At 43.1% G+C, this 13641-nt stretch overlaps 2 long non-coding RNA genes across 6 annotated transcripts in view; both read right to left on the bottom strand.

The window, feature by feature from the left end:
- CYTOR (cytoskeleton regulator RNA) overlaps positions 1-13641 on the bottom strand; it is a 66092-nt gene that overhangs the window by 14108 nt on the left and 38343 nt on the right. The window lies entirely within an intron of this gene.
- NCAL1 (NK cell activity associated lncRNA 1) overlaps positions 1-13641 on the bottom strand; it is a 282375-nt gene that overhangs the window by 230443 nt on the left and 38291 nt on the right. The window lies entirely within an intron of this gene.

The raw sequence follows: 13641 nt of genomic DNA, 5'->3' as shown, positions 1-13641 counted from the left end.
AACTGGGTTTCCAAGCTTTAAGCAGATGTTATTTACCCACAATTTATTTCCAAGAAGTAACTGAGAAACCATTGCCATTTTTCATCAGTATTCAATTAGAAGCATAAAATCGTCACTGTACCAATGATCTATAACATGGTTCTTGCTGGAGATAAGTGAAAAGCAACCTATGTCCTCAAACTCTAGCTCACCTCAATTCTGGGGTTGCGGCTTCCCCAACCCTTTTATGTGCTTTCATGGGGGTGGCCAGAGGCTGGCCACTGCTGGTTGCAGGGACTGGGAAGCTGGCAGAGATGAGCAAGCAGGGCCCTCTCCAGCAGCCACCACCCCAGCTAAAGAGAAGTCCAAGGGTTACTTTGTGGTTTGAGGGGCACCTCCTTTTCTCTGGCACTGGGAGGATGGACCCGGTCACTGAGCAACACACAGGCCTCATGCCTCAGGCTTCCCTTGGGTAGTGGAGTCCCACCTGTGGGGACTGGCTCTGCTGGGCTCCTGAGGAGGGGAGAGCAGGGCCAAGGTCTGTGCTTCTCACCTTCGCCCCTGCCCAGAATGGTGTTTGGTTCAGAGTTGACGCTGGGTGAGCATCTGCTGCAGTGGTGGGATGGATGGTGTGAACCGACCCCCTAGCTTGGGACTCAACCACAGTTCCGAGGTTGGCACAGATTGGTACAGGGAGATGGGCAATGCTGGAACTGCCAATCATTGAGGTATCTTGGCCTCTATATCTGTGGGTTCCACATTACTGGATTCAACCCACTATGGATTGAAATATTTAAAAATAATAAAACAATAAAAATAATGCCAATAAAAATATCATAACAAGTGTTTACATAGTATTTATGTTGCATTAGATATTATAAGTAATCTAGAGATTATTTAAAGTACACAAGAGGATCTGTGTAGGTTACAGGCAAATATTATGCCAGTTTGTATCAGAGACTTGAGCATCCTTGGAGTTTGATATCCATAGGAGATCCTAGAATCAATTCCCCATGGATACCAAGGGACAACTACACATTGTGTAAATTACCAAATTTGCTCAACCTTCTGAGGCAACTACTCTTAATATCCTCATTAGAGAGAAGGAAGTTAACAGAGGGGTGGTTAACCTGCTGCAGATAACAATAAGTCAAGAGTTAGAGAAGGATTGCAGATGTCCTTGCCTTTTTACCACACCTTCTCTGCCATTGGAGTCAGTAGCCACCACCTCACAGCTTATGGACACCCTTCCCCAGAGGCTGTAGGTCTGGCCCACATTCCTGCCTTCCTGATTGGAGTGTGACTTCTCCAGGACAGATGCCATGGCCAGCTCAGTTCACTCTGTCTCTCTGGCACCAAGCACCCTGCCTGGAGCACCGTGGACCTTGGCATATGTTTACGGGACTCTCTGTTTTTTAAGAAGTAGTTTGCCATCTCTTGCACACAAAGCTTTCTAAAGCAAAGAGGAACTGTCTTCAACATTGGGTGTCTGGATCTCTACTAAGAGCAAGAACTTCGTAGACCTAGAGCAGACTCACCACTGTCACCGTATTTATCCCAGGAGGTGCGCCTTTCCGGAATCACCTTGTGTATTAGTTTGTCAATGCATTCCTTCATTTATTCATACCACTGTCTGAGTGATTAGTACACACCAGGATGAAGCCTTTCACACTGATGTAGACACGAATAAAAATCTTTTCACAGTTGCCCTGTTAGCCATGTCAGCAGGATCTTGAGATAAAACAGAAAAGCAAAACTACACAAGGTTGTTTATCCAATTTAATAACATTTATCTCAGAAGGTGAGAGTGTGTATAATCTTCACAATCAAGAGTAGAACATGTCTGGCACACCTAATCCAAGGTTCTGCTGAAAATTCTCATGGGCAGAGCAAGGAAAATGGGAAGGCACGCCTGCTGAAAGATGGATGGCCATTGGTAACTCAGAAAGAACCGCTTCTCTGTCACGTTGGGTCAGGTCTATGATGCAATCACCCTGTGCCAGAGGGAGCCTGCCTGTGTTGGGAGAAGCAGGGCTTTCATGCCAAGGAAAGAATCCAATAAGTCTCTCACAGAAAAAAAGTGTATTAGATTGATGGTTCCAATAGCATTATTATTATTTGTTATGATTTTTTAAAAGTATTACTATTTTTATTATTAACCACTTTGGGATTGCAAAGTGTCTCCCAGTTCACAGGAGCTTTTGTACACATGGTTTCACCTAAACTTCAAAACTGTCCGGAGAGGTAGGAGAGGCAGATTCATTCATTCATTGGTTGAGTTGCTATTTGACACACGCCCACCTGTTATCAGGGCCCTGGGCCCCTCCCCCATAGCATCGCTGCACTAGTGGAACCAGCCCAGAGAGAGCACAAGACTATGTGTGTCAGGAAAAGAAGGAAAGAAAAAAAGACACGCAGAGTTTTCTTTCCCTTTCCTGAGTCTAGCTTACTTTAGACTTACTTTCCCTGTTCCTCTAGCTCCCACCAGGCTAGGATGGGGCCATAGTGTCCCCAGGCTGCCCCCCAACCCCATGCCCACCCCCTCTCCTGAACTACTCGGCACTTCCTTTCCTTCCCGCCCCCACCGCTCTGCCCTGGAAAGACTGGGGAGGCCATCTGTGCCGTCTCTTCTCCCAGACCAGTGGTTAACAGAACTCCCAGAGGAGGCTCCTGTGTGTGTGCAACTCTAATAGCAGGATTTCAGGCCTCATTTGTGGCCAAGACAGTGCGGAGGTGACCTTTGGCGACAGGCCTATCTCATTAGCGTGTAGTCTACAAGATTCTCCCAGGGAGCTCTCGGATGGACTGTTTCTCCTCGCCTGAGATCTTCCCCTGCTTGGCCTGAAGTCCCACTTTGAGGGAGTGGGTGGCTGTGGTCATGGGGAAGGCTGGGGGGGTAGGCTACCTGCAGCAGCCCCTCTTGGACCCCCCAGGTCGTGGTAGCTTTCCATTCCTTTACACGCCACCAACAGGACGCCTATCGCCCACCTGGTGGGAGCAGAATCCTCTTGGAGTCACTCCACAATTAGAAAAATAAAAGTTGTACTTCTGTTATTTGCATCTTACCTTGGTTTTCTTTTCTTTCTGAAGACTAATATATTATGGGTGGTTTCATGGTTTAACTTCTTTTTTTTTTTTTTTGAGACAAAGTCTCGCTCTGTTGCCCAAACCGGAGTGCAGTGGAGCGATCTCAGCTCACTGCAACCTCTGCCTCCCAGGTTCAAGCAATTCTCCTGCCTCAGCCTCCCGAGTAGCTGGGACTACAGGTGTGCGCCACCATGCCCAGCTAATTTTTTTGTTTTTAGTAGAGACGGGGTTTCACTACGTTGGCCAGGCTGGTCTTGAACCCCTGAGCTCATGATCCGCCCACCTTGGCCTCCCAAAGTGCTGGGATTACAGGCATGAGCCACCGTGCCCAGCCCTTCATATTGTTTTTTAAGAAAAAAATATAAAAATGCTGTCTTTGATCTTTTTTTAACAAGCAATTTTATGTATATTGGCAAAAAATAAAAAGGTAGAAAAAAGGCAACAGGAGAAATAAGAAGGAAAAGGAGGAGGAAAAAGAGGATGACAAGAGGAGAAATGGTTTGGGATGAGACAAAAAAGGAAGCGTAAAAGTTAACATAGAAACTGACCTCATTCAGAGAGACCCTAGAGGAAGACACAGCCTCCCTTTGGACTCAGATGCTTATTGCATAGAATATTTTAAAAGCAATTGGAGAAATTAAAGGGAAAAGGTGCTTTGGTCCCAGACTTTCACTATTCCATGGAGCACCATCCTTTAACTCTGGGAAAAGTTGCTCTTACCTTGTTATAATAGTTTCACTTTGGGCCCAGCACAGTGGTTCACGCCTATAATCCCAGCACTCTGGGAGGCCGAGACAGGCAGATCACCTGAGGTCAGGAGTTTGAGACCAGTCTGGCCAACATGGCAAAACCCTGTTTCTACCAAAAATACAAAAAAAAAAAATTATTCAGGTGTGGTGATGCGTACCTGTAGTCCTAGCTACTCGGGAGACTGAGGCACTAGAATTGTTTGAACCTGGGAGGCAGAAGTTGCAGTGAGCTGAGATCACACCACTGCACTCCAGCCCGGGTGACAGAGCGAGACTCTGTCTCAAAAAAACCCAAAAAGTATCCCTTTGTGTACCTAGCACGGTGGAGGACTGTTTTAAAAGCAGGTCAGAAGATGAAGCCAGTAAGACTTACTGCGGGACTGTAAGCACAAAACTGAAAACCCCTGCTATGGAAATAAATCTCTGCCTCTGAAGAACAAATCCAAAGCGATGACTCAGGGAGGCAGCAGGGGGCATCCTTCCAGGCACTTTTAATAAACTCTAGTTTTAATGGAAAATATTTCAACAATGGTGATAATTCTGCAATTTATTTGCAAAGTCAAAAAATGTTGTTTTTTTTAAAAAAAAAAGATTCACCTATTATGATTTTTTCTGTAATTCTTAGCTGTGACTCCATAAACACTACCTCGCAGTAATAGAGAGGCTTTTGCCGGGACGCTGACTGCCAAGTTTGGGAAGCCATAGTCCTAAGGTGATAAAAAGCCCAACTTCAGGAACGTAAGTGTAGGGGAGCTTCCAGGCATCCAGCAGTCCCCAATTCAGGGCAGGTCTTGCTAGTGTCAAACTCAGCTTCCGGGACTCTCCTGGTGCTCAGAAGATGCTCTGTAAAAAAACTCCACCACCATTCCTCAGGCCAGCAGCCCCAGCCTGGACAAATGCACCATCCTTCATATTCCACCACTCTCAACACACACCCTGTTTGCCTCTTTCTTCTTTCTGTTCATTAGCTTTTTATTCTAACCTTCTTTGCAATGTCAATGAAACTGGCATGCAGCTTGTTTCTGATAAACCCATTTCACACTCGGATGGACACTTCCCTGTTTGGAAGTTTATTTCTAATATTACATTCCAGGACGTCCTCCCTTGGTTTCGCCCCATTACTCTGGTTACCCTTCTTTAGAGCATGTTAAATACTTCTTTTACCTCCTGGGTATCAGTAACCTTCACGTGTGTGAGAGTTATGGTCTTTTTCCTGCCCAAGCTCCATTCAAGCAACTCAACATTCTTAATTCTTGAGAGTTTTTTTTTTTTTTTCCATGAAACTGTTCTTGGTGACTTTTCCTTCACTTCGGGTTCTCCTCTTTCCCTTCCTTCCATCTAGGTGTCCCCAGCTGAACGTGTGTGTTCAATTTTAGAAGGGGCCTGGGATCAGGAAAATGCTTATCAGCTTAGAGGCAATATACGTTAGCCTAAAACGCCCCACTGGTTGAATTACAAAAGTAGCCACAGCAGTAGCCTGGAATAAGCCTGACGTTGAATGTCGTATTTCAGGCTTCACGTTGGGATCGTATGCAATCTACAGTTATAAACCCATCAGAAGTATGGCCATCCATGCCACGCTTTTCTGAATGGTATTTATTTTACATGGGCAGTGGATGGGATTTGATAACCGTTCTCTCCAGCAAGATGATTTTAGAAAGCGAAAGGCGAACTGGCTTTTTTAGTTGTGGCACTGCCTCATTTGGAAAGAAAAAGTATGTCATGCTTTTGTTTCACAAATGCCATCACACGTTCAGGCATTTGTGGTTCCATGCTCAGGCGATATCTTCATTTTGCTGCCACTTCCACACACGATTATTAATGCTGAAAATGGGCACAAATGTGTTAAAATAAAATTTCACAGCGGTGTAGTGTTTGCTGTCAGGAAGTAGGTAAATGGTCTACAACTGGGACAAAAGTTTGTGTGGAATTAAATATAATTAGTGTTAATTCCACTGGGGTGGAAGTTTTAAAATATATCAAATATGCTCAAGAACTTTTTGTATGATAAGGGATACGTATTAGAGTCAAAAATAAAGACAGTCCATAGAAAAGGTGTGGGAAATGATACTCCAAGGCCATAGAATGGCTACTGACATTTGTTTTGTGAGCCACCTACAAAAATCATGTAGATAATTCTCACATACATACTTCCCGTAGAAAAATGGTGCACTTACAAATAGTAGATGCAAATGAAATCTAAACTAAGGTTGCAAAAGCACAAGTAGACCCTCCCAAGCTCAAAGCTCTCATAAAGCCATGGCATCTACATGCTGTGAAAAGCCTCGTGCTGTCCTTTTGAGCAGCCAGTGTTGCTGCAAACTGCCGGGGACCCACTTAGTTTCAAACATGATTTTTCCCCTGAAATAACGGCCTCCCATCTAATGGCACGCTGAGGTCACGGGGCACGGTGGAACCAGTCTGTGATCTGGGAGCCTGCCCCCAGAGACACACCAGTGGAACTCGTGAACCGTCTAGATTAAAGGATTAAAACGTCCTTACTGCAGGTCTTTATCATGAAGCCCATCTAATCAGTGGCACGTTTACTCAGAATAAAGAATGGCCCCTCTAAGGGAGGGGGGAAGGCAGCAAAGGGTCAGCAAGGAGCCCTGTGTGGGGGTCCTGCCGTCTGGGTTCCAGTCATTAAGAAAGCATATATTCTTTGAGCCTCCACTCCTGAATCTGTAAAACGAGAGCTCTGGACTCCAGGGTGGCTCTTGAGATTGTGTTTCTCCCTATAATTTCTATAATTCTTTGCAAATCACAACTAGCTTCTCACTTTATTATGCATAATGATTTAAATGCCCTGTTTCCATGAATGTGTATTATTTTATTGTGCTAAAATAGGCATAGCATAAAATTTACTATTTTAACCATTTTTTAAGTGTACTCTTCAGTGGTATTAAGTACACTCACTGTGGTGTAGCTATCACCACCATCCATCTCCAGAGCTTTTTCATCTTCCCAGACAGAAACTCTGTCCCCATTAAACAATAACTCCTCATTCCCCCCCTTGCCTCCAGCCACTAGTAACCACTGCTCTAATTTCTTTCTCTATGAATCTAACCCCTCCAGTTATCTCATGTAAGTGGAATCCATACAATTTTTTTTATATTTACAAACATCCTCAGCATGACAAGGATTGAACAAGATTATAGTTTTATTTTGTTTGTAATATGCTGTCCCTTTTCTGTCCTGTCCTGATACATGTAAATGGCACTAAAACAGAGTGGCCCTCTCCAGGGCCGCTGGCATGATCAATGCTTTCACAGATTTAAAAAATGGAAGCTGAGCCCCAAAATCTAATTGCATAGAAAGCATTTGCGCAGGGATTGCATCCAGCGAGAAGCATCAGGGACATACTATTTTGGTACACTCAAAGACACACTTTTAAAATCAATATTTTAAAAGTCATATCAGAAGTAAGATAAACCAGGCTGCTATCTCAACCCTCCGTGTGTACTCTGTACATGATGTCTCTCTCACCGCTGAGAAAAGCTATGCGTAACAACAGGAAACTGATCACAGATCCCAACATCAGCCCCGGTGACTGTAAGTAGAAAATACAATGAGTAACTCCCCTGAAAATGAGATGACTGAAGTTGATTATGTATTTGTTGTTTAAAAATAAAAAAGAGTCAACAAGAATGGGAGTGGGGTGGGGAGTTTTCCACGTTAACAGAAATGGCAAGTTTTATTTTTAAAATTTATCTGTAAATACAAAACAAGTGATAAAGACACCATGTGTCATTTGTTTTTGTACAGCAAGGAACTACATGCAGCTTGCTAATTTTCTCAATTTGTATGCTACAAGGTGAACTGCAGCATCACAAAAATTAATTTCATAGCCAAGCAAATATGAAATATGAATTTCATAGGTAGGCTTTTATAAAATATTAAGTTATGGGCAAGCCAATATAAAATATTGATGTCATACAGTATGAGCAAATATGGAGATAAAAATCGCTGACCCAGATTATGAATTGTTGATTAAAGAGCATTGTTTACCAGTTTGTAAGTATATCAGCAAAATGTATGTGTGGGCATATGACAGTTCTAATTTGAAATATAATTCTAAATCATATTTACCTTTGATCTGAAAATACCTGATAGTGTGAAAAAACTAAGGCTTGACAGCCAAAACAGTACAAAAGTCAAATGCTGCATTTTAATTCAGAAGTGGGCAAATGTCAACTTGTTTTAATTTCTGAAACCTCTCCTTTTGGGGTTATTGTTACACATTTGATATTGAAAAGAAATTGAGGTTAATCAACCAATATTATTTCTCTTTTTTAGAAGCCTCAGAAAGTTTGCATATATACATATATGTGCTATAAGAATATACAAGTGTATATAAAAACATAAAATATTACAATAAAGAAGAAAATTCATTACAGACTTCCTAGGGAAAAGGGAAAAAATCATGTAGAAAAGCAAATCTTGATTTGGCATAATTAATTGTAGGGTTTCTTAATTGTGTGGAGGGAAAGGTTGGAGGAGTAAATATGTATCTGTATTTATAGAAGAGAATGGATCTTTCAAGCCAACAACCCAACAGTAAAGTTCTAAAATTACACCACCCAAGTCCCCTACTGTTTCCTTCTTTTGGACAAAAGCAAATATTGACCAGGTGCCAGCCTCGAGCCATTTGAGGCAAAGGCAGCCGTTGCGATGGGCAAAGCCACAGCCTGGCCACACCGGGCCAGGCTCCACGTCCAAACCCGCTTGCATCGTAGAATTTTGAAATTAACAAGTCACCAGACCACACACCAAGCAAGGAGTAATCACTTCACAGAGAGAAAATAACTATGTTTAAAATGAAAGCAAGATCAACACTGGCCTAAATGCTGGTAAAATGACCTTGAGGGATGTTCCAAATTGAAATGGATCAAATTAGTTTTCAATCCACTCTAAAATATGAAATGTCAAAAATAAAAATATGCTGATGAGGTTCAGCGCGCTGAAGTTTTAAAATGACTAAAACGACATCTGTCATGGAAATCCCTGCAATTTTACAAGAGAATAAGAAAGGCTATTTTAAACGGTGCTTAGTCACGTTGCATTTTTTTGGTAGTAATGTCCAAACTTTCCTGTCCCGGTGGCAGAACCCATGAGCATGACCTCCACAGGACTCTGGGGGAACGGGGGTGGGCAAGTTCCAAAAATACCGCTCACAGCTCACAAATGACGGCTGGTCAACTCACATTTGACTGTGAAAGCCACAGTGCAGGAGCGAGGACGGACTAAAATGTCTACAGGAGAAGGTAGGGTGTTGTGTTCTAGAAACCCTGGCAGCTGTGGGTGAGCACAGAATTTTCTAATGAGTAAGACTGAAATCAGTGAAAATGCCTCAGCATTAAAGGGAAAAATAACTTATCTGCTGTCTAACCACGGAGCTCAGGCATCTAAGAAAAGCCTAAATAATTCACGAAAACTGTGCCCAAATAGACAAAAGGAGCTCACTGCTTCTTGCAGAATATTTAAACCTGACTCAACTTTGGGGTTTTAATCCAAATATCTTAAGTTCACATTTCATTGCTGGAACATTCCATGTTGTATCAGGAGCTGACTTAGGTGGGTGAAGTTCTTAACCCTGAACAGAGAATAAAATGTTAAAAATAGTAATGAAAGTGCCGATACCTCCATAGACAACCCTAAAATGTGTAATGTGTTCGTGAAACACACTGCTCACCGTCTAAAGGAAAGGTGGTTAATCCTGGGCAATTCAGGTTTCTTTGCAGCTATGCCATGGAAGGTCCCTTAAATGCAAGACTCAGCATGGAAACCTCTTTCACTCTGGAATCCTTCTCCAGAACTTGGGTGAAGGTTCACACACTTACATCTACCCCCATGCTTCCCCAAAAGGGCTAAACCCAGAAAAGCCTTTCCCGGATGTCTAATTGGTGACAGCCTATTATGCCCAAGGGGTTTACTTTTCTCCAGGTGCAGAATAACAGAGGAGAGATTTGTTTACTCTCTCCCTTTTTTTTTTTTTTTTTTTTCATTAACAACTTTGTTTAATGGCCTGGGAGCTTGAGCCGGTCAGATCCCTAGAGCAGGGTCCACACACTCAGCCCTGGACTTTCTCCCACCTATTCCAACCCAGCCTCACACTCCCATAACTGCATTCCTAGCCTTTTCTTCCCGTTTTTAACACTGTGCTTCACCTAGTAATCAACATAAAAACAAAGCAGATAGAAGGACAGGCCTAGGTCAGGCAACCGTCTGGGGTAATGCAGGTGTCACAGCCACAGGCCAGGCTTGACTGGCACAGGTCTGGGGAGCCTGGGGGCAGCCTGGGTGGGTGTGAATTAACAGCCTGGAGGTGGTGGGAGGGGGCATTCTGTGTGCCTCTGGGGAGGGGCGGAGGTGAGGTGTTCTCTTTGTCAGGGACCCTTGGATCTGCTGGGGACAGAGCCTGCCCAACTCCCTCCTAAGCAACTTCTGTTTCCTCTGCTCTCCCTTCCTGCAACCTGCACTCCTGCTTCCTGCCTGGCACTACCAACTGTGGGAAACCCAAGTAGGTGGCACCATAGTGGGGGGCAAAAGGCAAAGCCTTGGTTGGGTAGGGGGCATAACTCCAGGCCTAGTTCTGCAAGCCCTGACACTGAGGCAGGATGCTTACAGAGGAGACAAAAAAGCAATGCAGTGCCTCGAATAACAACTGGGGTGCCCCCACACTGCCACTGACAACTGCCCCTCAATAACTAGTACACCCTAGTCTTTCTAGCTTCTGGGCACTCCTAGAAACCAGAGCTTCCAAACCCTTCAGTTCACACAGGCCAGGACTTGCTGAGGGCAGGGGGCGGGGGAGGAGGTGAGGGTTGCTTTCAGGAGTATCTGTTCTTGCTCCCATAATCTTGGAGTGGATCACAAAACTGAGTAAGTGTTGCTATGGTTATTAAAGTCATTCCTTTTAAAAAAGAGCAAAACATGGCAGATTTTCTTAACAACTTGTTCAAATGGCAACAGTCCCGGGTTGTAGCTAATTAAGTGTGCTAAAGATAAACACAAGATCGCACATTCCTATTAAGATTGTTTGCTCCTGGTTCTTTTACACACACACACACACCACTTTGAACATTCAGGGGAAATAATAAATTCTTATGCACTCAGCATGAGGAGTAAAGAAGAAAAATATATTTTCCATAGAAATCGCCTTACTTCACCTCCTTTAAATTCTACAACTTGGTTCAGGACAAATAAAGAGGAAACTACTGGAATGTGTGAGCAGGCCCCACTAGCTCTGAAGGCAGAGGCCTCAGCAGGAGGTGAGCAGCTGCAGAGAGGCTCAGGCAGGCGGCCCTGGGCAGCCTCATTTCTTTATTAACACCACCACCTACAGGGACTGCTTTGAATAGGATGGTGTGGTGTAGCCCATAAAGCCTTGCAAGAAAAACAACATTCAGAACAATTGCACCACATTTTTTTTTCAACTTCCTGTTTATTAGTATTTTATCTAAGAGCAGAACAAAAGTCTGTATAAATGGGAAAAAATAAAACAAATGAATGCACTGTTAAGGCCTATTCACAATGCACACATACAACAACTTGTCAAGTGCATTATGTCTTTCAATTGAACCCACCTCCGACCTTCAAATGTCTCTGATGACAGAGATCAAGAGGAAATAAATGGAATTTGTTATTTTATAAGAATTATATATAATTAATTTTTAAAAAAATAAGTAAATGGGCTTGTTTTTGGCACAACTGTATGACAGTATTCCTTGCCACACTGTACAAGTCAACATCTTGTAAGAATTTGTATTTTGCTAGAAATACGCATGAATATAATGAAAATGCAAATGTCCCCCTAATGTTTGGTGCAGAGCTTGATTGTGTAAGAAAAGGAAGAAAGTATGTGGTCAAGGTGTGGGCAACCTTTGAGGTTCTCAGCCTAAGAGGTGGACAAAGGGCTGGTGACGCCTCCACTGGAATCCTTCCAGCGAAGTCATGAGGTCATTACGAAATTGTTAGTGATGTCTGTGAACTCTGCTTTCTTCCTTAACCTGCCTGCCATGTTGTTCTTTGGGCTTCTTCTCTGCCTACTTTTCGAAAGGCTCAGGGCCAATGAGATGGAATGAATGAGTGGCCATAGGGCTTCCAGTGTTGACCTTGATGGCCACATTTTCTCTTGAAAGCAGCCCGTACAGTCTGTTTTTGTGGATACTTGTGAATCAAAGGGCTGGGCCTTGGCACAGTTCCCCAGGACCCTTGCTCTTTTTTATCTATGGTTATAAATACCACTGAGTCTCATTTATTTTGAGTAGTTTTAATGTCACGTTTCCCTATTTGAGAAGGACGCCTAGACATTTGGGATTATCAACTTGGGGAGTTGCCTATGATTTTTTTTCTATGCCCTAGTAATCAGGAATTTTGTTATTATTTACTCTCCATATCTCAGTCTCCTATGACATTAGCGCGTATGGCCTTGTCTAATTATTCCTGATACCTATTACCTCGTTCACATGAAAATAAGAAGTCAATAAGAAGAGGCCTCCTCTTGTATAGTGTAACAAGAAACATATCTGCAGATAGAGACGGCATAAATCAAAGCTGAAGTGTGAACTTAGCACTGGTCAAGACCAGTTAAGCTAATCAGAAACAGATTGCAAATGCTCTAGCAGAACAAATACTGTCTTTCTAAATGGCCGAAAGTGCTGTGAGGGACTAAAACTGAACAGAACAATCACAGCAAACAACAAAGGTCACCAAATAATAAAGCAGCCATCATTTGTGTGCTGGTAGTAAACACTGAGAACTCACTGCATGTGTCTTGGACATGGGAGATGAAGAAATGTGGGGTTGGTTTTGTTTTGCCAAGGGGCATTGATTAACCCTAACCAGTAGTCAGATCTAGGAAGGGGACCCTTCCTGGAGAGAACGTCTCTATGGAATTCATTTTTTATTTTTTGGTAATTTTTTTAATTGACAAAAACTCTATTACATTTACTGTGTAACATGATGTTTGGAAATAAGCATTAAGGAATGGCTCAATTGAGCTAATTCACATATACTTATCTTTTATGGTGAAGACAATTAAAATTTACTCTCAATAATTTCAGAATACAATACATTGCTATTAACTAGAGTCACATGTTGTACAGTAGATCTCTTAAGTTTATTTCGCCTATCTATCTGAACTTTTGTATCCTTTGAACAATATCTCCCCATTACCCTATCCCTGCCAATGCCTGGTAACCACCATTCGACTCTCTACTTCTGTAAGTTCAACTTTTTTCTATATCACGTATAAGTGAGATCATGTGTTGTTTGTCTTTCTGTGCCTAATTTATTTCACTTAACATAATGTCCTCCAGGTTCATCCATGTTGTTGCAAATGTCAGGATTTCCTCATTTTAAAAGCTGAATAGTATTCCATTGTGTATATACGTGTGTGTGCTGCATTTCTTTATCCACTCATCCACTCATGGACACTTAGGCTGGCCCTGTGGCATTCTTGACTGGCAAACATAGAGGAAGCTTTAACCACTAACTTCTGCTAAGGGAGGAACTGTTCCTTGGGCATAAGAGTAGACAAAACATTTTATCAGCATCAGAAAGTATTTTGGGGCCGGGAGCAGTGGCTCACACCTGTAATCCCAGCACTTCGGGAGGCTGAGGCAGGTGGATCACGAGGTCAGGAGATCGAGACCATCCTGGCTCACACGGTGAAACCCCGTCTCTACTAAAAATACAAAAAAAAATTAGCCAGGTGTGGTGGCGGGCGCCTGTAGTCCCAGCTACACGGGAGGCTGAGGCAGGAGAATGGCGTGAACCCAGGAGGCGGAGCTTGCAGTGAGCCCAGATCGAGCCACTGCACTCC

This window comes from Homo sapiens, chromosome 2, assembly GCF_000001405.40.
Source record: "Homo sapiens chromosome 2, GRCh38.p14 Primary Assembly".
NCBI lineage: Eukaryota > Metazoa > Chordata > Mammalia > Primates > Hominidae > Homo > Homo sapiens.
Note: the sequence above shows the minus strand (reverse complement) of the source record. Positions and strands in the feature narration are given on the sequence as shown.